Genomic DNA, 26,995 nt, shown 5'->3' with positions numbered 1-26,995 from the left:
TGGTACACTTTCTCATAGTTATTAACTGGTTTGTTAATGGGAAATAGACCATTCTTTCCCTCTCTCATACTGATTTGTGATCAGCTATTTAATTGTCATTCACACCAGAGTTTATAGTCACTGATGGAAGCGATTGTTTCTTACCTATTTGTTTTTCTTTTCTTTTTAAGTTACTTTTCACCTGAGAATTTTACCCATTGTTTTATCTTCAGTATCTAACTTAGTGCTTTGAACATGTGCTCAAAAATATGTGCTCAAACATTTTTAAAATGTAAAATGAATGAATTCTGGCAAGAACTAAGCTGATAAATTAAAGATATTAACTTCTTTAGCTGGTTTGTGTCTTTCTAGAAAAAATGACTCCACCCTCTTTTCTGACATCCTCCCTTTCTCCACCTTCACATCACCATTTGGCATTTGCACATCCTCTCTGTGAAGCTCTGTAGCAGCAGTAAATACTGAAAAATGAACATAGGCTTTTGTCTCAAAAGCTGCCCTGATAAGAGAAAATCAAACACTTTTGATTTTCTCTCCCTGACTGTGTTCACTTTCCCCTCCCTGACTGTGTGTGGCTTATAAAGTGCCCCTAACGTTGGAAGAATGTTACTCTGGTCTTGGAGAGCTATTTAGATACCATTTCAGACTCCTGAGTTGCATAGGCACAATTAAGATTTCCCTTCTTACAGGAATCTGACTGTTTGATGAGCACAAAGCCTGGTGAGATCACTGTGGTTTGCCCTTTAGTCTGTCCGAAGTTGGCAATCATTTGAGATAATTTTATAACGTTTTCAACTTTTCTCTGTTCCTTGATTGTGTTTCTTTATAGAAGATTATTGCTTTGGATTTGGAGGCCACTGCTTTCCTAGAATGGGGAAGGGATATATGAGAGAAGAATACATGAACCAGATTAACAGTTTGTTTATTACTATCAAAGCCAACATCTGAGCACCTAGTGTGTTTATTCTCAGGGTGAGTGAGAGAGCCCAGGTGGAAAGAGAGGGAAAAATAATAATAATAATGGCAGTGGCAGCTAACACTTTGTGCACTGATAATTTTAACTGCTTTATAGGTAGCAGCTTATCCTGTGACATGGGTTTTTCATTGGTCCCGTTTTAAGGATGATGAAACTGAGGCACAGGGAGCATAAGTAACTTGTTCAAATTCCCACAGTGAGGGAGGAGTGGAGCCTCAATTTGAATCTAGGCAGTCTTCCTCCGAGTCCAGGCTCTTAACCACTAAGCTGGGGCTGTGCCCTTACTTTGGAAGCTAGTGGTCCTCAGTCTCCTCAGCCCTCCACTTTGAAAGCCTCATTGGCAGTAAATCTCTATGGGGGTAGTTGGTGGGGATCAGTACGATAATGTTCACTGAACTAAAATTAACCAATATAGGTATAGTTGAAATTATTTAACACAGAAAGATTTATGTGTGCCTTGTAACTCTATCATGGGTTCAGAAAAACTGAGGCATGCCAAAGCAATCCAGCTAAGCAAGGATTGTTTCCTGCATTTAACTTATTCACTGAAATACTCGGACACAGAGCCGGTCACAGTTTCTTAGGAGACCAATGAATCTGCAAAAGGAAGATGGTCACTTTGCCTTTCATACTCTTTAATGTTAGCATGCCAACAGCTGAAGTGAACCGACCCTGATGGGTTTGTAAGCATGGAAGGGAGAGCTTTGGGGTTTTGCCCCATTAAAAAAAATTATTATGCTTTAAGTTCTGTGATACACGCGCAGAACGTGCCAGTTTGTTACATAGGTATACACGTGTTTGGCCCATTTTTTAACTGTCTTACTTGGGAGATTGCCTTGCCTTATGGAGAGACAGACCTAGCTCTGTCTTCTTAAGAAGGAATGTCGGCTGTGCTAGTGGATGAAGGTTGCCACCAGTTGATGGGATGTGGCTTTTTTCCTATCTAAATAGTTAACACCATTTCCATCATCTGAGGATTGAATAGTTTTGTCTCAGGGTTAAATCATGAAGTGATGATGGGAAGAAATAGATCTAAGGCAAAGTGACAGCAGAGGCAGTTATCTCTGAAGAACCTCAAGGTAGATGGTGGACACCAAAGCTTTCTCAGGATCAGTGCCTCTCCTTACTGCCATCCCAGCATCTGCTATGCACTTGGTAGCTATAGCAGGGTGTGACTGGGAACTAGCCCTGAGAGTGGGCCCTGATCCTACTACCAGAATGGCTGATTTCTTACAAGTCAACTCCAGAAAATGAAAAAAAAAAAAGAATGGCTGATTTCTAGTCTTAGCACTGCTCTTAGTTGTATAAAGACATGCTCTTCACTACTGTCTGTACTAAACCCTTTTCCCTCTGCATCACTGTCATCTGTTCTTGTTCATTGAGTAATGACACAATCATAAGCACCAAGGACTTTGCCGTAGGATAAAGAAGACAAGGTCTTAACATCTCAGAATTACAATCTAAACATAAATGTGTCATAAGGTAAGAACATAAAAAGTCATGTGAACATATATATGAAATACAGGTTATACACACGCACACTTATAACAAAGTATAGATACATAGGCTATATGGAAAGAATCCTCAACTAGGACCCGAAAGGTTATCCAAACTCTACTCCTGATTGACCATGTAAGTTTGGAAAAACCACTTTATTGTCTATTGCGTTTGGTTTACGAACCTACTGAGGCAGGTTAAATTATCTCTATTGTCCTTCCCAACTCCAAAATTATATCATTCTAGGATGTATTTGAATTGACCCTGACTCATGGTTGTGTGGAAGCTAATTACTGTAGTCAGATAATAAAAAATTGTAATGAAAACGTAGGTATGGTTGAAATTATTTAACACAGAAAGATTTGTGTGTCTTGTAACTCTACTTCTGGGTGAACCACTGTTGCAATTTTTAAAATAAAAAATTTTTAAAGAAATCCTTTGCATTAGCTACAGAGCTCTGAAACTCAACAAACTGCCAGAATCTAACTTACTTTTCCATTCCTGACTGTGTTCACATTTTCATCTGCTTGGCAAGGGCAGTGGTCAACTGGGCTTTTGTTTCCGTCGGTTTCACTCTCTGGTGACCTGGTACCATTCCTATGCCTGTATTTTCTTGTTCTAAGTACTTCAGGAGAAGATCTCAAGCAGAGATTTTCTTTAGGGCTAGAAAAACCATGGCAGTATAGTTTCTTTATCTCAGGTTTTGTGTTACTCTGTTTCGGTTCCCTTTTTCCCATCTTTCACTTTAAAAAAAAAAAAAAAGCCAAATTTGGGACTTATACTAAAATGACTGCTTTTTCAATTATGATGTTTCTCAAAAGCCTTGGAGCCAGTAGAGGTGGGAATATTCCTGCAGGCTAAGAACAAGTGAGGTCACCAGGACATGGTCTCTTGCTGAATTTATGATTCACCCTTCAGCAAGATTAGTCAGTACAAAGAAGTTGCTAAAATAGGTCACAGAAAATTGATTTTATATGGTCGTATAGTTTCCATTGGTTACATTATTGAATGTTGGCCTGTGGCAGCTATTTGGAAACCCAATATGCCTCATTGACAGCCCACATTCTGATTCATAACACTTCTCTATGGGAACCTTTAAATCAAAATGTCTGATATTTTTTCCTGGTTGTCCTATTAATTTTTTTTTCTTTTTGGCTAAGGAAAACTATGGTTACTAATTTTATAAACTGCTAAAGTTTTCTTTCTAAAACACAAATCTTTTCATGTCACTTTGTTCTCAAAAGTGAACCATAGTTCCCCATTTCTTACAAAATCAAGTGTAAACTTTATAAAGCATCCAGGTATCTTCCCAACCTTATCACCCATACCTTCTTGCTTTTGAACCTTTTTGCCATTTTTGAAAGTGCCATGTGCTTTCAAGCTCCTGGGCCTTTGCTGTCTCTTCATCCCAGAATACTTTCCCTGCCCTTTTCACTTTCCAAAAATCCTCCATTATTTTTCAAGGGCCAATTCAAATCCCACATCCTCCCTGGGACCTTTCCAGATTTTTCTCAATTAAAATTCTTTTTTTTTTCTTCCCTTTCACTTTATGTTCCCATGGCACATTTTACTCTGCTGTGCACGATAGATAATTGCTTGTCCATCCATCTCCCACACCAGATTGGAAGTCCTTTGAAGATACCAACTGTATTGTAGAAAACTGTACTGTACCAAGCATGAACACATGGAAGGTTGAATTCTGTGTATTGGTGCTTAAAAATCAGGACAGAATAGTGATGTTTTGTTTTTTATTCAGAATGGAAGGGGCTACTCTTTCCTTTCTCCTTAGTTACAGCTTGATTCAAGTTGAATGAAGTTTGTTATTATTAATACTGTCAGTAAGAGCTATCACTTAATGAGCGATAATTTTATGCCCAGCTCTGTGCTAAGAAGTGTTCATTATCTTAGTTAATACTCACAACAGTTTAACATAATAGATGATATTATCCTGATTCTACAAATGAGGAAACTGAGGCTTAGAGAAGATGACCTCATCCAAGCCTATGCAGCTAGTATGTGGCAGGGCTAGGATTCTAAGCCAAGTCTAACTCCAAGACTGCACATAACCACTGTGTTAAACCGCTTCTCCAGCCTGAGGAAGGCTAGGACTCATTCCCTCCACCACAAATAAAACACAGTGTGATCTAGATTTAAAGTCTGGAGGTTGGAGTTCCACTCTCAACTTGCCCACTTTGTGGTATAACCTTGGCCAAGTCATTTTGCTTCCTGGAACCTCTTTCCAAATGTGTTCAGTCAGTCAGAATGCTTTCAGAAGCAAGTAACAAAATACTCAACCAAAAGTGGCACAAATAGTAAGGCCAAAATATCACTGTAATTTTTCTTTTATCTGACAGATAACTATTGAGCACTTAGTGAATGTCGAGGACTTATGCAATAAACACTTCACAGGATACCCAGGGGTAGGTGGTCTTGGGGTCATCCAGGACCTACAGGCTTTCCATCTTTTTGCTTTGTTTTCCTTGGTATATTGGTGATTTCTCTTCTCTCCCATCATTGGTACAAAGTGGCTACAGCTGCCCCAAGGATCATTTTAAAAAACATTTTCCTAACTTCCCAAATGTGTTAGGATCATTTTCTTAAATACCAACAGTAAAAACCAGGAAGAGAGAGAGCAGGGCATCTCTTCTGGGTCTTTTTTTCCAGAGGCTCCCAATAGCACCCGCTCCTTGGCCAGAACTGGGTCACATGTCCACCCCTAAGGCAATCTCTGGCAAAGGAAAATAGGATTACTGTGATTGGATTAAACAAATTATTATTCTTTTTACAGGGCAGGGGAGAGGCCATCTTTCCTGAGCATATTGCCCCCATACCTGAACAAAATTAGGGTTCTGTTAATGAAGGCAGCTGATAGGTTTTGCCTTACATGTGGATGTGCTAGTGGGATTTCTAGGATCTCTTCCAGCTCTAAGTCTCTATAATTCTGTAGGCTGCATCAAGAAATTGTAATGGAATGCCATTTATGCCTAAAATCCAGCAGCCTAAGTATGGGAGGGTCTTTTATATTTAATTCCTATAGATTAGATATATAGAGCCAAAAGCTCACCATGGCAAAGAATAAGCATGGTTTGAAAGGTGATGTTTGGAATTGTTTCCTGGGTCCAAAACCTCAACAGAGGCTAAGGCTTGCCCTCATCACAGAAGACAGAAAATCTCTGCTTTTAAAAAGTTGGATCTGTGATCTCCTAGTCAGGTTCACACTTGAGAAAAATTGGCCAGGAATGTATTGACTTATGCTCTATCACTGTTGCCCATAGCAAAGAACTGGATGGAAGAGATCCCTAAACTGGTATATCTAGTTAATGTTAATATGTAGCCAGATATGTTACAGGTCTGTTTCCACTAGAGCTGACATAGGTAATCTTTTTCCTAGGTTTATGAAGGGAAAATGAATGGAATATCCTCTTTTTACCCAAAAAGAAAGTCTCCAAAGTAGCCATAGAAAAGACTAGTTCATTTCTACCAGAACAAATTTGTTAATAAAAATATCTGTGGAATACCATCTGTGTACTCCACTGGCCAACACTGTACGAGGGCCTGTGGAGCATATTAAATATGTGCAAGACACAGTCCAGCTTTGATTCCTGTAGTATCACTCTCTTCATGTTCTTTGCTATGGACATGTGTGGCAGTGTCATGATTAGTGTGCCCCGATGTGCCTGTAATGAGGAGAACAAAGACCTAAAATTAGTTCATTTTTTCCGTTTGTTTCTGGCTTGAACATAGTCGAGTACTATAATATGAAACAAATTGACTTGGAAAACTGTATTTTATTAACCAGGAATGCAAAGAAAAGAGTGATGATTGTGACTCAGAATGCCAGAGGAGTCTTCATTGAGGAAAGGCTATTTCAGCTGAGCTTTGAGGATTGAGCACAAAGTCAAGGTGGAAAGAACACAGCGTATGTATGAGATGGTCAGGAGGCTAACCTAGAACAGGGGTACATTTTGGAGTAGTGAGCTGAGACTTTGGAGGACCTTCAAAGCCATATGAATAGACTTACTGTGATATATTTGGCAAGAAGCAACCACACATGTCTTGAGACTCAAGATTAAAAGGGTATTTAATAAGAAATATGGAAGTTGGTGGGGTGAAAGTGGTGATAGGGTAGCAGGGACCCTCCTTTTCAGTGGCTTTATGTGTCCATGTAAAGGGACGTCAGCTGGAATAGCACTCTTGGCCTCCGTCCATCCCTTTGCACACCCCACCCATGAGAAGGAGGAGTGACTTATTGGCAAGTTTAGGAGAGGAACCAGGTAATTCAGCTGCTGTCCTAAGAGCACTAATTCTGGTCCGCTCCCCCAGATCTGCTCCTCCATGCCATCAGCCCTTCATGGGCAGTTTCCCAGGAGGGGAGGCCTCTGGCTATCCAGTGATGCTTGTGACTCAGAGGTAAGTCTCTGAAATCCTGGGGTTCAATTTGCTGCTACGCAACTAAGTTGCATCCTCCAACTGTCTGATGTTTTGATCCCCATGTATCTGACCACCCTCTGTCTATCTCAATTGGTTCAAAAGTTGGGTGAGGAAAAGGAAGGCTCTTCAGTGGGTCTCCTCAGGCCCCAACAGTGCATGGAATGATTGGTAGGTGGAAAGAACTAAGGGATGGAAACCAATCAGAAGGTCTGCCAGGCGTCATGATGTGTGATGAGGACTCAGATTAGTGTTGAGGACTCAGATTAGTGTGATAGTGGCAATAAAGAGAAAGTGGGACTTGTGAAAAGGAAAAGAAAGGCTGTAATTGGGGATAGATGGAGGATAATGGATGAAGGAAAGGGAAAATCTAAGTGAAGGCCCACCATCTGGAATGCTCTTTACCCCTTCCTGCCGTCTCTGAATATCAATTCTATCCTGTCTTCAAAGTCTACCTCAGATACCACCTCCTTCTCAAGACTTTTAAGAACTTCCCAGGCAAAAGCCCTCTCTTTCTTCTCTTGCGTGTTAGAAGGCTCTGAGTACTTTATGCTGCATATTGCAGATACTTTGGGGCCCATCTTTTCTCCACTATGGGCTATAAACTCTGTTGACACGATCTGTGTCTGATTGGTTTGGTATCTCCACAGATTGTAGCAAAGTCCTTTGCTGATACAGTCAACAATATTTATGGAGCTAGCCTCTGGTATTCAGGAAGGAGAGAGATATCAAGGTTCCTGTTCTCAGGAGGAGAGAGTTCTTTGAAGGAAATAAAGCAAGAGGTGTGATGGAGAACGATTGAGGGGCTCTTTAACCTGAGTGTTTAAGGGATGGCTTCACTGAGGACAGCACTTTTGAGGTGAAAAATTGAGAGAGGCAAATAAGGTATTGGAGCTGGGGAGAGAAGCCCCAGACAGAGAACATGGCAACTCAGAGGCCTCGGAGCTAGAATGTGCTTGGCTTGTTCAAGGAACATAAGAGAGGATTGTGGCTGGAGCGAGACAAGGGTTATAAGATGATATGAGATGAGGCCAGAGCAATAGCCAGAGGCCAGGTCATGTGGACCAGGAAGAAGAGGCGTTGTAAGCACATGGAATCTGAAGGAAGAAGACGGGTTCAGCCATAAGGGGGTAGGTCAAGCAAATAATTTTTTAATAGACACAGTAAACCTTGGGATATTGGAAGATGGAGAAAAGGAGGTTAGTAGAGAGAGAATTGCAACATATTATAGAGGAATGGATTCTAGAGAAGTAGGAAGGAATTTGTTAACAGAGTAGAGGTGGAAGGGTCTGCTATAGCAAGGAAGCAAAATGTTTCTTCTTTTGATACTAAAAGGCTGAAACAGAAAACATCTGTTGAACACTTACATAGTGTCAGGCATTGTCCTAAGAGCTACTTATTTCTTCCTCACAACAGTACAGTGAGGTACATACTACTATGATAGCCCCACTTTAAAGATGAGGAAACTGAGACTCAGGTTAAATAATTTGTCAGCGGTCACGTAGGCAGTAAGGGCAGAATTGGGAGTTGAACCTAGGCTGGTTGCTCCAGCAACTGTGGCCTTAACCACTGGGCTCTGTGGCACTTCTACAGGACATGGGTTAGTATGATGTTGAAGTGAAGCCAAGCATCTTATATATACAAGAGCTCCCTACAGTGCACAGAGAAAGAGACCGTGGAATTAGGTGTTTGAGGAAAGTGAAGATGGTATGGAAATACTGTTCTGGGGATTGTGTTTCAGACCCACTGAAGTGAATAAAAGAATAGATTATCAGGATTAAAGATATGATAGAAGGTGAGCAATATGAATTTGTATTTGCTGGGGTTAGCATTTCTATCTCTTGCTCAAGAAAGCTAGATTTAAATAGAGAATATAGATGATGGTGTGATCCAGAATTGGTGATTAAATCGGAGAAGTAAGAGAAAATGAGTTTTAGCTACTGACCACAGGATCTTGAGAAGCTAGGAGTCCAGTGAAACAGGGAAGAGGTTGTAAGGGGTAAGGTGGAAGAGTTTTGTGATTGAAGGCCCTCATGAAGATGGAGTGGAAGGCAGGTGAGGTGGACTGAGAAAAATGCCTGTGTAAAGAATGAAGGAGGACCAGGTTGGAATTGATAAGAACTTTATTATGGAGAGTTCTAAAAGGTCTAGGATATTACTGTTGTGGAAGACAGAATTTGTCTCTAGAGTCAAAGAGGGTAAGGAACTGTGTTGTCAGGATGCTAAAACCAGAGGGCAAATGCATAACTCATATTATTACCTACCACAGCAACACCCCAGTGTTCTTTCCCGCTGAGTCCGCATGTGTCTCAGCATCTTTCTCAGTGCAGAGTTCCAGGAAGTCAATAGCAGTCAATGAAAATTGATTTTTGTCTTTGCTTTAGACAGTGCCACAAGGGGTTGTTACTCGAGACCAAGGGTGGGTGGAGCTGACAGTAGGGCAGTGTATAACAGGTGAAGTTTAGTAGTCCCCCTGGAATTAGAGTCGGTGGCTAGAGTGGAATCTTGAAACCTAGAGGTTGTAACTAACCTTGGAGAAGTGTGCAGCCTTAGAGGAGGGAGTAGGGCTGGTAGGTGTTTGAATGGTTCTCAGGAAGTCTAACCACATTCTCTCATGCTCTAGGCTGTCAGTGCAGTGCTGGCAGCACCTGGGCCAGAGCCATTAGGTGAGGTTGAACCAAGTAGCATGCTGTCTGGAAAGCTGGAAATGGGGCCTAAAAGACAAGAGAAAGTAGCAGTTGAATACAGATTATTTGTATTGGCCATAAGTGAAGACAAGCCAAATCAAAGGAATATCTTTGTTCTGAAGTGATACTTCTTTTCTTTTATCTTGAGCTAATCAATTATATTGATGGAGGGCGAGTGTAGTGGCTCACACCTGTAATTCCAGCACTTTGGAAGGCCAAGGCAATAGGATTGCTTGAGCCCAGGAGTTTGAGACCAGTCTGGGCAACATAGCGAGGCCCTGTCTCTACAAAAAAAAAAAAAAAAAAAAAATTAGCTGGGCATGGTTGGCACACGCCTGTAGTCCCAGCTACTCAGGAAGCTGAGGTGGAAGGATCCCTTGAGCCTGGGAGGTTGATGCTGCCGTGAGCCATGATCATGCCACTGCACTTCAGCTTGGTCAACAGAGCAAGACCCTGTCTGAAAAAAAAAAAACAAAAAAATTTGTAATGATGGAGAAGTCTATATTCAAGTAATTTACCACAATCAAATTGTAAGGACCTTAAGAACTTCTGTACCTTCATGTCTGCAACAAAGCTTAGTGCCCTGCTTTGCACGTAGTTGGTGCTCCATAAATGTGGGTCAAATTGCTTTGCTTCCTTGTCTTTGAGCCTATATAACAGTTGTAAACCCTGTTTCCTGACTTCCAGATAATATCATTTATCCTTTCAGCTTACTATAGCCTGGATAGCCTGTAGAGAAACTGAAAAGAAAGATGATCCAGTGAAAGAAATGTCATAGATCTGCTAAACTTTGACAGAGAAGCAGTCCGGGTGAGCCTGTCTAGGACAGAGTGTTATACTGCAGTCTTACGAGTACTCCATCCACTTTCTGCTCTGGCTTCTTTTCACATTGATTAATCTTATTATAATAAGTGTTTCATTTAAATTTTCCTAGATAATTTTGATATGGAATATTGGCACCACATGGCTTTTGAGTTCTTTGAAAACATTAAAATGTTGCACTTTGTCTTTCATTCCAACTATTGCCTGATCTTCAGAATCCTATTCCTGTGGGTTCATTCATTATTCTGACCCGGGCAGCCCAGACTGAAAGGTAAAGTGGGTTACCTAAACATTTCATTTATTGTGATCTGGAACATGGTATTTTTTTTTTTTTTTTTTGAGACGGAGTCTCGCTCTGTTGCCCAGGCTGGAGTGCAGTGGCCCAATCTCGGCTCACTGCAAGCTCCACCTCCCAGGTTCACGCCATTCTCCTGCCTCAGCTTCCCGAGTAGCTGGGACTACAGGTGCCTGCCACCACACCCGGCTAATTTTTTTGGTATTTTTAGTAGAGACGGGGTTTCACTGTGTTAGCCAGGATGGTCTCGATCTCCTGACCTTGTGATCCGCCCACCTCAGCCTCCCAAAGTGGTGGGATTACAGGCATGAGCCACACCGCACCCGGCCAGAACATGGTATTTTTTAAAAAGGCAAAATTTTATAAAGTAACCAAAATGAAAGCACATTAATAGTCAATAATTATATATGCTAACATATGTGAACATACCTAATTACTTTATCTGAATGTATTTATTAAAATATCTAAAGGGTTCATAGCAAACAGTATACAGTCTGGGCAGGAGAATTTTGTGGGTGCTAGGGTGCAGAAGTGGAAATTTTTTTCCTTTTACATTTCTTACTGATTTGGGGAATAATTTTTATTATAAAATTTAATAAGTATTTGATGAGCATGAAATAGTATTTGAAATATAAGGCAAAAATGACTCTGAGTCGTCATAAGGGTATAGACATAGAGCCATGAGGGTTCAGAGGAGGACAGTTGTTTTCAACTAGAAGGGATGAAGAAAGCCTTCAGGAATGGATGAGATTTTATCCTAGCCCTCAAGTATGAGGAGAACTTGGACAAGCAGAGACGAAGGAAGATCTAGGTGGGGGACTGTGGAGAAAAATGCATGAAGGTCAGGAGTGGGTGAGCCATGGACATGGTGATTTGGTCAGCTGATGGAAAGATGGTGGAGTTAAGAGTGGCAGCACTGTGTGAGGGGTTCCTGAGGAAATTTATGATGGAGGGGTCAGGCTAATATACTCTGAACCCCCTAATTATCTTAACATCCGTAGAAGTGGGACAACCACCTGTGACATATTCTTACAAAAACAAAACAGAAACAAAACCAAAAAGCCACCAAGAACCAAAACACAAAAAACCTCACTGAACCTTGAGGTCCAAGTAGCAGTTGACAGAAAACATGGGAAACAGGAACATTGAAGTAATTCTGTGAAGATACACTCAGCCAAATCCAGAATGTGGGAAATTCTACAGGATAAATGAACCAGCTTCTTCAAGAAATACATGGCATGAAAAAAAGGAGGAAGAGAGAACTGTTATAGATTTAAAAAGACTTAAAAGACATGTCAACAAAATCAACATATGAACTCATTCAAACAAACTATGTATATTAAAGAAATGTGCCCAGGCGCAGTGGCTCATGCCTGTTACCCCAGCACTTTGGGAGGCCGAGGTGGGTGGGTCACCTGAGGTCAGGAATTTGAGACCAGCCTGACCAACATGGTGAAACTCTGTCTCTACTAAAAATACAAAAACCAGCTGGGTGTGGTGGCACACGCCTGTAATCCCAGCTACTCGGGAGGCTGAGACAGGAGAATTGCTTGAACCTGGGAGGTGGAGGTTGCAGTGAGCCGAGATCACTCAAGCCTGGGCAACAGAGCAAGACTCCGTCTCAAAAAAAAAAAAGAAATATTTGAGACAACCTGGGAAAATTAGACACAGACTGGGTATTAGATAAGGAATTATTAATTTTGTTGGGTGTGAAAAAAGTATCGTATATATTTTAAAGATCTTATCTGTTAGACTAGAAATATACCCTGAAGTATTTACAGGTGAAATAAAACAAATGTCTGTGATTTGCTTTCAAACATACCAGCAAGAAAAACAAATAAAAAACAAGAGTTGGAGAGGGGTAAGAGGGATGAAAGAAGAATGGCAGAAATTTGCGATTTTTAAAACTGAACAATGAGTACCTGGCATTCATCTTACTCTTCTACATGCTTTTCAAGTGTGTTTGAAACTTTCTGTAATGAAATGTTGAAGGCCAAGCTAAGGAGTATGGACTTTACTGTTTGGCACCCAGAAACCTGTGAAGAGTGTTAGCCTGAGGAGGGACGTGAGAGGGACTGTGAGATACCCAGAGAGTTTAGCCTGGCAACAGTGGGTGAAGTGGCCAGGAAGGAGGAGGACTCAACCTTGATGAAGGTGGCCATGAGGATGGAAACTTTTTTGAGAACAGATAGAGGAAATAGTGGCAAAAGAGGAACTCTTTGGTGTGTTGGCAGTAGAGAAGTGAATCAGGTGCATGACAGGGAAAATTCCCTTCTTCCTCTTCAGTAAGTAGCATTTATTGTCCTGAAACCACTGCACTGGATACTGTAAAGACGAGGAGGAGAAGGAAAAGGGGATCTTCACTGAGGAGGAACAGAACCAAGTCTTTGTATTAGCCACAGTAGAAAGCAATGGAGAAATAGTTCTGTTTTTTTTTTTTTCTTTTTCATGGGGAATTTGTCTTGTGGTTTCAGTATGAAATTCATGGGTACAGTGATTTGTTTTGCTCACCTTTCTCTGTTTTCTTTGGGGAAATGGTGATACTCTGTCCGTGATCCTATCTGGATCATTTGTGATATTAGATAATTTACTCATTTGCAAAATAAATTATATTACAGTTGACTCTTGAATAACTTGGGTTAGGTGTGCTAATCCCCCATGCCATAAAAAATCCATGTTTAGGCCAGGCGTGGTGGCTCACGCCTGTAATCCCAGCACTTTGGGAGGCCGAGGCGGGCGGATCACAAGGTCAGGAGATTGAGACCATCCTGGTTAACATGGCGAAACCCCGTCTGTACTAAAAATACAAAAAATTAGCTGGGCGTGGTGGCTGGTGCCTGTAGTCCCAGCTACTTGGGAGGCTGAGGCAGGAGAATGGCATGAACTTGGGAGGCGGAGCTGGCAGTAAGCCGAGATCATGCCACTGCACTCCAGCCTGGGCGACAGAGCGAGACTCCGTCTCAAAAAAAAAAAAAAAAAATCCATGTTTAATATTTGACTCCCCCAAAACTTTATTAATAGCCTACTGTTGACCAGAAACCTTACTGATAACATGAACAGTCAATTAACACATATTTTGTATGTTATATGTATTATATACTGTATTCTTACAATAGAGTAAGGCAGAGAAAAGAAAACGTTATTAAGAAAATCAGGCCGGGCGCGGTGGCTCATGCCTGTAATCCCAGCACTTTGGGAGGCCGAGGCAAGCAGATCACGAGGTCAGGAGTTTTGACACCAGCCTGGCCAACATGGTGAAACCCTGTCTCTACTAAAAATACAAAAATAAGCCGGGCATGGTGGCAGGCACCTCTAATCCCAGCTACTCAGGAGGCTGAGGCAGGAGAATTGCCTGAACCTGGGAGGCGGAGGTTGCAGTGAGCCAAGATCGTGCCATTACACTTCAGCCTGTGGGACAAGAGCAAGACTTCGTCTCAAAAAAAAAAAAAAAAAGAAAATCAATGCTGGACACAGTGGCTCACACCTATGATCCCAGCACTTTGGCAGGCCAAGGTGAGAGGGTTGCTTGAAGCCAGGAGTTTGAGACCAGCCTGGGCAACATAGCAAGACTCTGTCTCTATAAAAAATTAAAAAATGAACCAGGTGTGGTAGTGCATACCTGTAGTCCCAGCCACTCTGGAGACTGATCTTGGAGGATTGCTTGAGCTCAAGAGTTCAAAGCTGCAGTGAGCTATGTTTGTACCACTGCTGTCCAGCCTGGGTGACAGAGTGAGACCCCGTCTTGAGAAAGAAAGAAAAGGAAGGAGGGAGCGAGGGAGGGGGGGAGCGAGGGGGGGAGTGAGGGAGGGAGGGAGGGAGGAACGAAGGAAGGAAGGAAGGAAATAAATAAATCACAAACAGGCTGACAGGTGCACCATGGTGGCCATAGCCATCTCCATAAAATAAGTAAATAATCAGAAGGATGAGAAAATATATTTACTATTCATTAAGTGGAAGTAGGTTATAAAAGTCTTCATTTTCTTCATCTTCATGCTCAATAGGCTGAGGAGGAAGAGAAGGGGCTGGTCTTCCTATCTCAGGCGTGGCAGAGGTAGAAGAAAATCCAGGTATAAGTGGACCTGCACTGTTCAAACCCATGCTTTTCAAGAGTCAACTGTATTCATCTGTGATGATATTCATTTATGAAGTCAAACACTTTCACTTCATTATTATATGATATTATTCATTTATCAAATTAGTCATTGTGAGATTTTATTATTTATGAAATTGAATACTTTAAAAGAATATGTGTGGGGTTAATTAAATGAGTTGATATGATATGGCCCAGAGAAACAAAAAGTGAACTATGGTAAATTAATGAAAATTTAGATTTAAATACATAGCTTCTGATTTGTCAGTAGCAAAAATATTAAAAATAAACTTCAGTCTGGGTGCAGTGGCTCACACCTATAATCCAAGCACTTTGGGAGGCCAAAGTGGGAGGACTGTTTGAAGCCAGGAGTTCAAGACCAGCTGGGGCAACAGAGTAAGATTCCTTCTCTACAAAGAAATAAAAAAATAAGCCAGGTATCATGATGTGCGCCTGTACTCCCAGCTACTTAGGAGGCTGAGGCAGGAGAATTGTTTGAACCTCTAGGAGTTCAAGGCTGCAGTGAGCTATGATTGTGCCACTGTACTCCAGCCTTGGTGACAGTGCAAGACCCTGTCTCAAATAAATAAACTTCAGATCCAGTAGAAAGAATTGTTAGAGATTAAAGAGAGATGGTAGTTCTCTAGCCCTTTATGATCAGATATATAACTTTTATATCATACACAATATATTAATAAGGTATGATATAGACAGATCCTCCAGAGAGGAATGGATACTCCAGAAAATAGCTTCCTGATCACCTTTGCTATTTTTCTTCTTGTTTTTCTTTTCTTTTTTTCTTTTTTTTTTTTTTGAGATGGAGTCTCTCTCTGTTGCCCAGGCTGTAGTGCAGTGGCGTAATCTCGGCTCACTGTAACCTCTGCCTCCTGGGTTCAAGTGATTCTCCTGCCTTAGCCTCCCGAGTAGCTGGGATTACAGGCACACACCACCACACCCGACTAATTTTTGTATTTTTAGTAGAGATGGGGTTTCTCCATGTTGGACGAGGCTGGTCTCAAACTCGACCTCAGGTGATCCACCCGCCTGAGCCTCCCAAAGTGCTGGGATTACAGGTGTAAGCCACCGTGCCCGGCCGATTCTTATTTTTCAAAAAATTACATGACAAACAGCAGCCTGTAAGAATACACCATTTCCCCAGCCTTGGCAATATGGTGAAACCCTGTCTCTATTAAAAATATACAAAAATTAGCCAGGTGTGGTGGCATGTACCTGTATTCTCAGCTGGCTGGGAGGCTGAGGTGAGAGGATTGCTTGAGCCTGGGAGGTCAAGGCTGCAGTGAGTCATGATAACGCCATTGCACTCCAGTCTGGGTGACAGAGTAAAACCTTGTTTCAAAAAATAAAAATAAATAAAAGGCCATTTCCTAGGATTCTAGGATTCACAGTTTTTATTTTCTGTTTCAATTTAATGTACCACTTAAAGAGGGCTGAAGCTGAGTTGGGAGAACAGAGATAGGAAATGTTGCTTAGTGAGTGGGGAAAAAATGTTGGTACCCAGTGCATTTTTTCTTCTTCTGCATCTAGAAGGTGAGGGAACCTTGAAGATTCCCTCGCCGGTCTTCTCATTCAGTCCACCCAAGCTGGCACCTGCCACCCTAGCTCATATAGTTAGAAAGAAGTGAGGTTTTAGCCAGGCTTGCTGCTGGTTTGGGCCCAATTAAAGTAGAATTTTTAATTCCTGGGAGCTGTTATTAAAAGCTCACAGGGAGATAAGAAGAGGGGAGGAAAATTCCTAGCTAAAAGCAGGAGAGGTGGTTTTTATTTTACTCAGCAGACTCAGCTGAGCCTTTGGGTCACAGTAGGGATGGGGATAGAGGGACACATAGTTTTAAGTCTTATTGTGGAAAAGATTGAACTATCATCAGTGCTTGATGGAAATGAGATCAGGAGAGGTGGCAGCAGTGTCGCTAACAGCACTGCCTCCCTTATTGCATTATCAGAAGAGAAAGATAACCTGCAAATAGGCATCCATTATCTCTTTCTACAAAGGGATTAGTGTGGGTTGCAAGAAATTAATGGCTTTTGAGTTACCACAGAAATACTAATGAATGTCAGGACCAGAGATGTAAAGCAGGTAAAACTGGCTTTTCTCAGCCTCATTTCTCTCCTTTTCTCTTTTGGTTTGCTATTTTAAGATCTAGACCTGTATTACTCTTTTTTTCTTTAGTCAAAAGCAGAAATCTTTAGCCAAAAGCAGAAATCATACCCTTTGGCAGTATGATTTATCTTTTTTAGGGAATGTCTCAATTAGTTTATGACTGTCTCCAATGTGTGTTGGCAAAGAGATTGAGAAACATTTCAGAAATTAAAGTCTCTACCAGGGAGGAGATGATTGACATCCTTCACATGGATGTCATTTTCTTTCTTTCTTTTTTTTTTTTTTTCTGAGACGGCGTTTCACTCTTGTTACCCAGGCTGGAGTGCAATGGCATGATCTCAGCTCACTGCAACTTCCGCCTCCTGGGTTCAAGTGATTCTCCTGCCTCAGCCTCCCAAGTAGCTGGGATTACAGGCGCATGCCACCACACCCAGCTAATTTTTGTATTTTTAGTAGAGATGGGTTTCGCCATGTTGGCCAGGCTGGTCTCGAACTCCTGACCTCAGGTGATCCACCCTCCTCGGCTTCCCAAAGTGCTGGGATTACAGGCGTGAGCCACTGCGCCTGACTGGATGTCATTTTCATGTCTGATAAGAATGTCAGGAAATCTCTCAAGTGATAATCCCCTTTTATTAAGTACTAAACTAGTATATATTGCAGCTAATCATTGATTACGGATGGCATGACTTGTAAAACAGAGGGGAAGGGAGAAAAGAAGATAGGAGGGGAATTATACCTACTATGTGCTGAGCATTGTGCTAGGTACCTTATTTCTAATTCAACAAGTACTTATTAAGTACCTACTATGTACAAGGCAATGTTCAATGTTCTGTGGTCTAAGAATGAAAAGACAGATCTTACCCTTGCCCTTAGTGGAACTGATTGTCCAGCAGGAAAGACAGCCTTAAAAAAAATTTAAGACTTATTTTATTTGTTCAGACATGTAAATAAGCTATTATAATATAGCCTGAACTAAGAGCCCATGATAGAAGAATAATTTAGTAGTGATACCTGATACTGACTCAGGCATGCATGCATGTGTGTAGGCGAGGTTGGGGAATCAGGACAGACTCTCTGAAAGAGGGTAAGTGTGCAGTTGCTGATTGAAGCCTGTGGAAGGAGCATTGCAAGCTCAGGGGACAGCATAAGCACAGTCAGGCTCAGAGAGAAAACGGCCATCTAAGCAGAGACCTAAAAAGTGAACTAGTCGAGTCAAGCTTGGATCTCTGATTACTAGACAGAAGGCCCATGAACTGGCCTGGAGGGCTGCTGAAGGTTTCTGAGAAATGAGAGTTTGTGAGCAGCACATTTTATGCTCGCTCCTATTCATTGACCCTTCCTCGCTTTACCAACCTGAGGGAAGATAAAAGTATTAGCAGGGAGTTAGGTCCAGTGGCGGAAGGCACGTTCTCTCTTGTGTATTTGGTACTGTTAGGTTGGTGCAAAAGTAATTGCGGTTTTTACCGTTAAAAGTAATGGTAAAAACCGCAATTACTTTTGCACCACCCTAATAGACTGTTACCTAGAAAACATGGAACCCTGGCAAAGCGTGATTGGTTCCTAGATTCACAAGGCATAACTAGTCACAGTTGTTCCAGTATTTCTGTTTTCTACACAGACCTCTGCATCTCACGTTGATGTTGCACGCTCCGTTGATGTTGCACGTTCCATGCCCCATACTTATTCTTGTACATGTGATTCCACCCTAGTTCTAGTTTTTATTTTTATTTTACTTTTAAGACAGAGTCTTGCTGTGTCACTCAGGCTGGAGTACAGTGGCATGATTATGGCTCACTGCAGCTCCAACCTCCAGGCTGAAGTGATCCTCCTACCTCAGCCTCCTGAGTAGCTAGGGCTACAGGCATGTGCCACCATGCCCAGCTAATTTTTTAATTTTTTATAGAGACGGGCTCTCACTATGTTGCCTAGGTTGGTCTTGAACTCCTGGGCTCAAGCAATCCCTCCCACCTTGGCCTCCCAAAATGCTGGGATTAGAAGTGTGTGCCACCGCACCCAGCCTCCTAGTTACAGTTTTTAGACTCGAGATTTCCCCGGCTATTTCTTGCCAGTTAGGTACCATCGTGGGATTCTACTACTTTTATTTTGTTTAATTTGAACCAGAAGACTGTCAGTCCCTGATCTGTGTGGTTTCTTGTGCCCTGATCTGTGTGGTTTCTTGTGCCTGCCTTCTTATAACTAATTCTAATCAATACTTTGCCTCTCTTTTCCTTTCTAGAACACAAGCAGACATTCCCAAACATTCTAAAGAAGGGTTACCTGGAGATTAGAAAGGACCATGACAGTTACTGGCAAAGCTGTTATGCAGAACTTTCACCTTACAACTTATACTTCTACAGCCTCGACAGCAGTGGGAATCAAAACCTTTATGCCACGTACCAGCTTTCACACTTCCAGAGCATATCTGTTTTAGGCAACCTGGAGGCCAGGATGGTGGATACTGTTTTGTATGACAACACTCAGCTACAGCTAAAGGCAGAGTCACCATGGGAGGCTTTGGACTGGGGACAGAAGCTTTGGGAAGTAGTGCATGCTGCTGTGCCCGGTTACATGGGGCGGCAGAATGAGCTGACAATCTCACCAGGGCTTGGCCATCATGATGACTATACACAGAATCATAGTTTCCAGAAGAAAACCAGTGGGCTGCTGCCACCGTCCCCTGTCCTGGACAGCTCCAAACAGTACCAAAACATCCTCAAATCAGGGACTCTCTACAGGCTGACTGTCCAAAACAACTGGAAGGCATTTACATTTGTGCTGAGCAGGGCTTACCTTATGGCTTTTCAGCCTGGCAAGCTAGACGAGGATCCACTGTTGAGCTACAACGTGGACGTGTGTCTGGCTGTCCAGATGGACAACCTGGATGGCTGCGACTCTTGCTTTCAAGTCATTTTCCCCCAGGATGTCCTTCGCCTCCGAGCTGAGACCCGACAGAGGGCTCAGGAATGGATGGAGGCTCTGAAGATAGCTGCCAATGTGGCGAGGAGTTCAGAGCAAAACCTGCAAGTCACACTGAGGAACAAACCCAAGGATCAAATGGGTGGGCATGAACTCAGGAAGAACAAACGCCAATCTGTGACTACCAGCTTCCTGAGCATTTTGACGACTTTGTCTTTGGAACGAGGACTCACTGCTCAGAGTTTCAAATGTGCAGGTATGAAGCAGATTTTCAGCCTATAGCTCATTAAAGAACAATCCTGAACCCCACAATTGGAATTCACTTTAAAAATCCCCTTAATAGGCTAGTCACAGCTATCTCCTGTTTATAAAAAGTATCTCTCCTCGAGAAGCTTACTGTATTAAAACATCCTATATTAAATTACTATATTAAAACATAAGGACAACCATCTTTATCCCATGCTGTTGAAGTAAATAGAAGCAGCTATGATATATCCTGTTGAATCAAAATGATTTGGCTAAAGCTTAACCAGACTAGAATTTAGGTTTCCTGAGTCGGCTGTGATTCCATTCCCTCTGCTTTCTTGAATAAAGGTCACTGTGAATATGGATGTCACAAATTGTCTCATAAGAAACATTCAAGTCCAAAGCTGACTACTAAAACTCCTTAGGCAAGGAAAATGGCCACAGTCAGTAACTGTCATTGATCTTGACCTTGTCAAATCGTCTTAAGGTGAAATCTAGAAAATCAGTCTTGACAGAAAATGTGGGGGTGGCTAAAAGCGGAGTAAATGATGATTCAGCAGATGACCACTGAGTCACTATGGGCTTATGCCCATCATGGGGAAGCCCAGGCCTTCTGGAACTGCTATGTAAGGATGAGATGCAAAGTGGAGTTTGAGGTCAACAATCTTATTTTGTAAAAGCTTGTTACTTCATCTTTCCTCTACTCCCCATTCTTTCCACCTTTCCTGAAACAGTAAAATTACCAAAAAAAAAAAAAAAAATTGTGCCAGGTGCAGTGGCTCACACCTGAAATCCCAGCACTTCGGGAGGCCAAGGCAGGTGGATTACTTGAGGTCAGGAGTTCAAGACCAGCCTGGCCAACATAGTGAAACCCCATCTCTACTAAAAGTGCAAAAATTCGTCAGGCTTGGTGGTGGGTGCTTGTAATCCCAGCTACTCAGGAGGCTGAGGCAGGAGAATCACTTGAACCCAGGAGGCAGAGGTTGCAGTGAGCCAAGATTGAGACTGCACCACTGTACTCCAGCCTGGGCGACAGAGCGACACTCCATCTCAAAAAAAAAAAAAAAAAAAAAAAAAAGCTTTTAAAACCTCACTGAACCCGATCTAGATATCTGTTATAAACTAAATAAAATTATTTTCCTTCCATTAAACCCCACAGTTTGTGACATTAAATTTACCATGAGAATGGCTTTAAATGGAAATCTGATTTGGAAGGTTTTAATTCAAGTCTATTAGGTTTAACATGTTGTTTAAAAATCATCAAGAAGCTCACCACCAGCCAAAACCACATTTAAAATTTTGTCCTTGCTCCTGCATTGAAAAAAGCCAAATAAAGGTGGCCATTGAAAACCCACGTTTTGAACTTAGGTTAGTTATGATGCTAGTCTTTTCTATGGAAAATAAATTACCCAGAGTGAGGACTGAGTGAATCATCCTTGCTTTGACTCAAGGGCCTCAGTGATTGTGGACCAGAAACTTGCAGAGTGGGATCAGAGAGACCAGAAACACTGAGCCAGTTAAGAAGCTCTACTAGACTGGGCGCGGTGGCTCACACCTGTAATCCCAGCACTTTGGGAGGCCGAGGCGGGCGGATCACAAGGTCAGGAGTTCGAGACCAGCCTGGCCAATATGGTGAAACCCCGTCTCTACTAAAAATACAAAATTAGCCGGGTGTGGTGGTGGGCGCCTGTAATCCCAGCTACTCGGGAGGCTGAGCAGGAGAATCGCTTGAACCTGGGAGGCGGAGGTTTCAGTGAGCTGAGATTGCACCACTGCACTCCAGCCTGGTTGACAGAGTGAGACTCCATCTCAAAAAAAAAAAAAAGAAGCTCTACTAGTTTATATATATGTATCTGTAGGTATGAAAGACCTGTGTTAAGTCACCCAGATACTTTTGGAAAATGGTTTTGAAATGATGAGATACTAGTTTTAGCAGTTTTTTAAAAAAATAGAAATTACTGACATTTCAGTGTCTTATACTAGTACATATATTTTTAAGTTCAGACATTCAATAATAATTTACTAAGTGCTTACTCTGGACATCCTGGAATTATGGTACACTTCCGTGGCTTTAGATTACAGACGTGGTCAGCAAATCTGTTGTGTTATTGGAGTAAGGAAGAACAGCTCAGCTTAGTTCTCAAGATGTGGAGATTGGAGTAGCTGAATCAAGAAACTTTCTAGTAAAAGAGGGAAGAAAAGCCTCAGGTATTTCACAAGAGGTATTGCCTAATTCACCTCCCTCTCAGAAGTGTGCCTTCTGATGGAGTGTGCACTGCCCATGCTCTGCACTGCATTCGTAGCATTCCTGACACTCAAGAGGAAGGAGAAATGTAGGTAAGAAGGTGCCATTCAGCAAGCTCATTCGCATCCGGCAGCTGGAGAAATGAAATCAGGAAAAAAAGAAAAGTGAGCAAAAGAAGGAGAAGGAAGCTGAGTAGAAAAGAACAGGAAACGTATTATTATAATATAATGGGCAGGAATAGAAATTTCTGGCAGCTGCCTTAGTTAGGTTCCATATGATAGGATGCTTCCCTTTGCTGTCTAAATTTTGTGCTCACGAAATTTGGCTTGTGGAGGATAGGTTGGGTAAGGGTAGTAGTACGGAATCAGGGGAGGAAGGCAGTCTAAAATTTATTTGCACTGCTTGACTTTTAACTTTGTGCTTTGGTTCGGAGTTTTAACGAACGGGGCAGAGAGAGACAGGTTTCTAATTTGGGACAGGGAGAAGTCAGTCTTATTTTGTATAGTGTGGCACATTCCAAAAAAAAAGAAAAGAAAGAAAAGCTGTTCCATTTATATGCCCTTTCTTCCCTCAGAAAGTGCTGCATTCAGTTGCTTTGTGATACTTGTGGTTTACCAGGTTGTTTTTCATACCAGCACTTGAACTCTGGTTTTCTTTCTTTTTTTTCTTTTTTTTTGAGATGGAGTTTCGCTCTCGTTGCCCAGGTTGGAGTGCAATGGCATGATCTCGGCTCACTGCAACCTCCGCCTCCTGGGTTCAAGTGATTCTCCTGCCTCAGCCTCCTGAGTAGCTGGGATTACAGGCATGCGCCACCACGCCTGGCTAATTTTGTACTTTTAGTAGAGATGAGGGTTTCTCCATGTTGGTCAGGCTGGTCTCAAACTCCCGACCTCAGGTGATCCGCTTGCCTCAGCCTCCCAAAGTGCTGGGATTACAGGCGTAAGCCACCGCCTGTGCCAGGCTGAACTCTGGTTTTCTAGGTAAGAATACTTTATTTCCTGATCTCCTGTAGGGGGCAGAGTCTCAAAAGAAAAAGGCCAAAACCTGTTAAGCAAACTTCTGAATGTTTTTTAAATTACCTGGGAGACTGTTCATTATATCAGAGATTATTATAGCAGATGGAACGTTAAAAATTGATCTGTGTTTCTCACAAACACAGTTAATCTAAACCAGCTGCTTCTTCCTTTTGTACCTATGTCTTCTAACTTTGCATCCTCATAAAAACACACCTTCAGTGAAAAAGCTGGTGGCATAGCATGTTGATCTTCCAAAATGCCAAAAACTTCAGCACATTGTTTTTGATGAGTTTTGGCTTTACGTATTATTTTAAGGAGAGGCTAATTCACTGTATTTCATGGTTTTAGTGTGCCCCTTTATAAGTTTTTATGTCTACTTAGTTCTTCCCCCTTTAAATAGTTTGGATGAATAAACTTTAGAAGTGGAAGATTGTATGGAGTAGCTCTTTGTTATGATGTCATTTACTTGCTATTCAGGGGAGCCACAAATGTTGGCTTTTAAATCTACAAAATAGTGCAATTGGCCTTATTTCATTAAATTATTTCTGTAAGTGAAGAATTTTCTATATCCTTCTTTAAAATTTAAACAGCCCTGCAGAAAAAAATGGACCATGGTTATGCAAAAATGCCTGAGGTTATGGTTTTAAAAATATATGCTGATACATAACGGTATATTTCTTAAATGTGTACTTGATTTTTGATAGTTGTATCTGATTATGTGTGACTGTTCCGTGGCTTCTTCTGCAGCTCCAGGGTTGCACTGAGCTTAGGAAGCCCCAGCCATAGTGGTCTTCTTTTTTTTTTTTTTTTTTTGAGACGGAGTCTCGCCCTGTTGCCCAGGCTGGAGTGCAGTGTTATGATCTCGGCTCACTGCAACCTCCGCCTCCTGGGTTCAAGTGATTCTCTTGCCTCATCCTTCCTTGTAGCTGGGATTACAGGCGTGTGCCACCAGGCCCGGCTAATTTTTGTATTTTTAGTAGAGACGGGGTTTTGCCATGTTGGTCAAGCTGGTCTCGAACTCCTGACCTCATGATCCACCGCCCCCCCGCCCCCCGGCCTCCCAAAGTGCTGGGATGACAGGCGTAAGCCACTGTGCCCAGCCTTATAGTGGTCTTCTTGCTGTTCCTGGAACCTACTATTATCATGCCTACCTCTAGGACCCTTACACTTGCTAGTTCTACTTCTTGAAATTTGAAAACTTAGTTGTTTCATTCATTCTGTCATTTATTGTGTGCCCAGAAACTTGGATGCACCTAGATGGGTCAGTGCTGGAGGAAAGCAGACATGGTCCTTGCCTTCATGAAATTTGCAGTCCACTAGGGAAGACATGAATCAAATAATCACATCAGTGAATGTCAAAAGGCAGCTGTGACAATTGCTACAGATGTGACGCCCATGCATTGGGTTAGAGAACTCTCAGAGATGGTGCCAGGTAGAACTATGTGAAATTGCAGATTTTTCAGTCATTTTTGACCTATAAAAGTAAAGACAGTTCAGATTACATTTTATGTTTGACCCTGAAGTCACAGAAGGTTCTTGAGCAGAGAAGCACATGATGGGAATGGTATGTAGGAACAGTTAATTTGGTGGTACAGCTTTTCGGGGACACCTGTAGCAGCAAATGAGGCATGCTTCTTCGGTGAAATTACTGGTTGAGGTTTAAAATTGTGTTTGGCAATGGGGAATCTGTGGTGCTATAGTATTAATGCTAAAACAAATGACTATACAGCTTATTAAAATATTTATGAAGTGTGTACCTGTATGTGATTCTATATTAGGTTATTCACAAAATGCCATATAAATTAGATTAAGGCAATAGCTCTTTTTTTTTTTTTAGTTAAAAAAAGTTTTAATTGACACAATATACATCTTTATGGGGTACATAGTGATATTGCAATACATATGTATAGTGATCAGATCAGGGTAATTAGCATATCCATTATCTCAAACATTTATCATTTCTTTGTGTTGGGAACATTCAGTATCTCCCTTCTAGGTATTTGAAACTACGTATTATTGTTAACTATAGTCATCCTATAGTGCTATTGAACACTAGAACTTATTCCTCCTATCTAAGCAGCTCTGTTTTCTTTAGGAATTTGACATTTGTACCTACCTATTTGCACTTAATAGATACATAGTTTTCTTGGCACTAGCACACACAGATATTTTTCCTATAATTTCCTAGCAATCAAGAAACCTTGCAATTGAGTACTATAATAAAAGGGCCCAAGGACTTGTTTCTGAGTGTGACAAGAGATGCAAAGCTCACCTTTGGAAGTGTTCCTTGTATGACTGTTTTGTAATCTGGAGATGAAATTGGATGGCCCACTGTAGGGCAGTGTTCCCAATTCTGAACTGAATTTGAACATGTTAACAGCAAAGACAGCAAGAAAAACAGTGAGCCTGGGGGATCCCCTACACCATTTTCACTGTGTCAGATTTTATGGTTTTACTCCTTGGCTGCTGTTTAACCTCTTGGGACTGCTGTTGGTAATTACATCTCTCTGGCATTAAGAGCTTTTTTGCTTTTCTTTTTTTCCCTCCAACCCTTGGGAGGGGTAAACCCAAGAGGTGGTGGGGAGAAGTTTTGCTGTGAATTCTTCAGCCATTTAGTGCAAATTCCTGTAATTACCGGCATTGTGTCTTCTCTGAATGGCACATAATACAGCAGAAGCCATTCCTAATTGAGACCTTACAGGAGGTACAAATCCCCTCTTTGTTCAGCCTGACAAATTAGTGCCAGAAAGTGGCAGGGTCTGAGTGGGAATCAAAGGCAAGAAACACAAAGATGGAACTTAAGGCTACAGTAATAACCCTCTCTTGTCCTGGAGGGAAAAAAGTAATGACCAATGAAAAATGAAGTTTTTTTTGTTATAAATTCCCTTGACATGACAGCACCTCGGGGCTGCTCTATTTATTTAGCAAAAGTGATTAAATAGTAATACAACAGGGCTGTCCATTGTTTCCCTGGGTGCCCCCCACCATCACAGACCCCTGCTGCCTGGGCTAATTGATTGACAATGAACCTCTGATAAAGAAGTATGTTGTTAGGACCTGGGGTGGGGGGTGGGGGGGCATTTTCCTCCTCTTTGTGTGTTTGAGAGAGAGAGAGTTTCATTTTTGTTTGAATTGCACTCTAGTTTTTCTTTGCCCCACCCTACCTCCTCTTTCCTCTCCTCTCTCTCCTCTCCCCTGCCTTATTTTCCTCCCTGCATTTTTTCCCCCAAAGCTTTTCAGCGGTTGCTCCCAGCTATCATTCACAAACAGGTAGAGGGCAATTAGAATTGTAGGACAGGCTTTTGATGAGTTTATCTTTGTAGCTAACTTCCTCTCCCCGTACTCTGTTTAAGCCTGAACAGCAGTATGAGAAGAAAGAAAAAGAGAAGGGGGCTGATTATTGGTGCTTTAAGGGCAGAAAAGTTGTGCTTTTTAGTTCTTTATTTGTGGGAATGGATGTCTGAAACTAGCCTTTGCACTAAGATTTTATCTTAAATTCCTTGCTCAACTTTAGAAAAAAATCTATGTACTAATAACATTTATATGCTTAGTGGGGGGAGTTGTGGAATAAGAAATAAAAACTCAAATTTTTAGCCTCCCCTTAGTAACCAAGAAGCCAAGATTAATTACCCGAGGATAAAATCTGGCTGCTTTTGGTGTA

General features: G+C 41.8%; 1 protein-coding gene across 8 annotated transcripts in view, besides 2 other annotated features; it reads left to right on the top strand.

The window, feature by feature from the left end:
• Window positions 1-26,995, top strand: part of PLEKHM3 (pleckstrin homology domain containing M3) — a 204,240-nt gene that overhangs the window by 28,794 nt on the left and 148,451 nt on the right. For 7 of the 8 annotated variants that reach the window (XM_005246545.4, NM_001080475.3, XM_011511160.3 and 4 more), the window contains one exon: window positions 19,148-20,083. The exons of the other annotated variant lie outside the window; for it this stretch is intronic. In XM_005246545.4, coding sequence (XP_005246602.1) covers window positions 19,148-20,083 — 936 coding nt within the window. The remainder of the gene's footprint in view (window positions 1-19,147; window positions 20,084-26,995) is intronic. 8 annotated transcript variants of the gene reach the window in all.
• Window positions 25,676-26,209: an enhancer, noted in NCBI's record as "OCT4-NANOG hESC enhancer chr2:208835249-208835782 (GRCh37/hg19 assembly coordinates)". NCBI's record gives its function as "activates a minimal SCP1, AML or CMV promoter by ChIP-STARR-seq in naive and primed H9 embryonic stem cells {active_cell/tissue: H9 hESC(naive and primed)}" and the evidence as "EXISTENCE:reporter gene assay evidence [ECO:0000049][PMID:30033119]".
• Window positions 26,275-26,569: a silencer, noted in NCBI's record as "tiled region #2767; HepG2 Repressive DNase matched - State 5:Enh, and K562 Repressive non-DNase unmatched - State 23:Low". NCBI's record gives its function as "represses a minimal TATA promoter and a strong SV40 promoter by Sharpr-MPRA in HepG2 and K562 cells {active_cell/tissue: HepG2 | K562}" and the evidence as "EXISTENCE:reporter gene assay evidence [ECO:0000049][PMID:27701403]".

The sequence above is a fragment of the Homo sapiens genome, chromosome 2 (assembly GCF_000001405.40).
Source record: "Homo sapiens chromosome 2, GRCh38.p14 Primary Assembly".
Lineage (NCBI taxonomy): Eukaryota > Metazoa > Chordata > Mammalia > Primates > Hominidae > Homo > Homo sapiens.
This window is presented reverse-complemented; position numbering and strand designations above follow the sequence as displayed.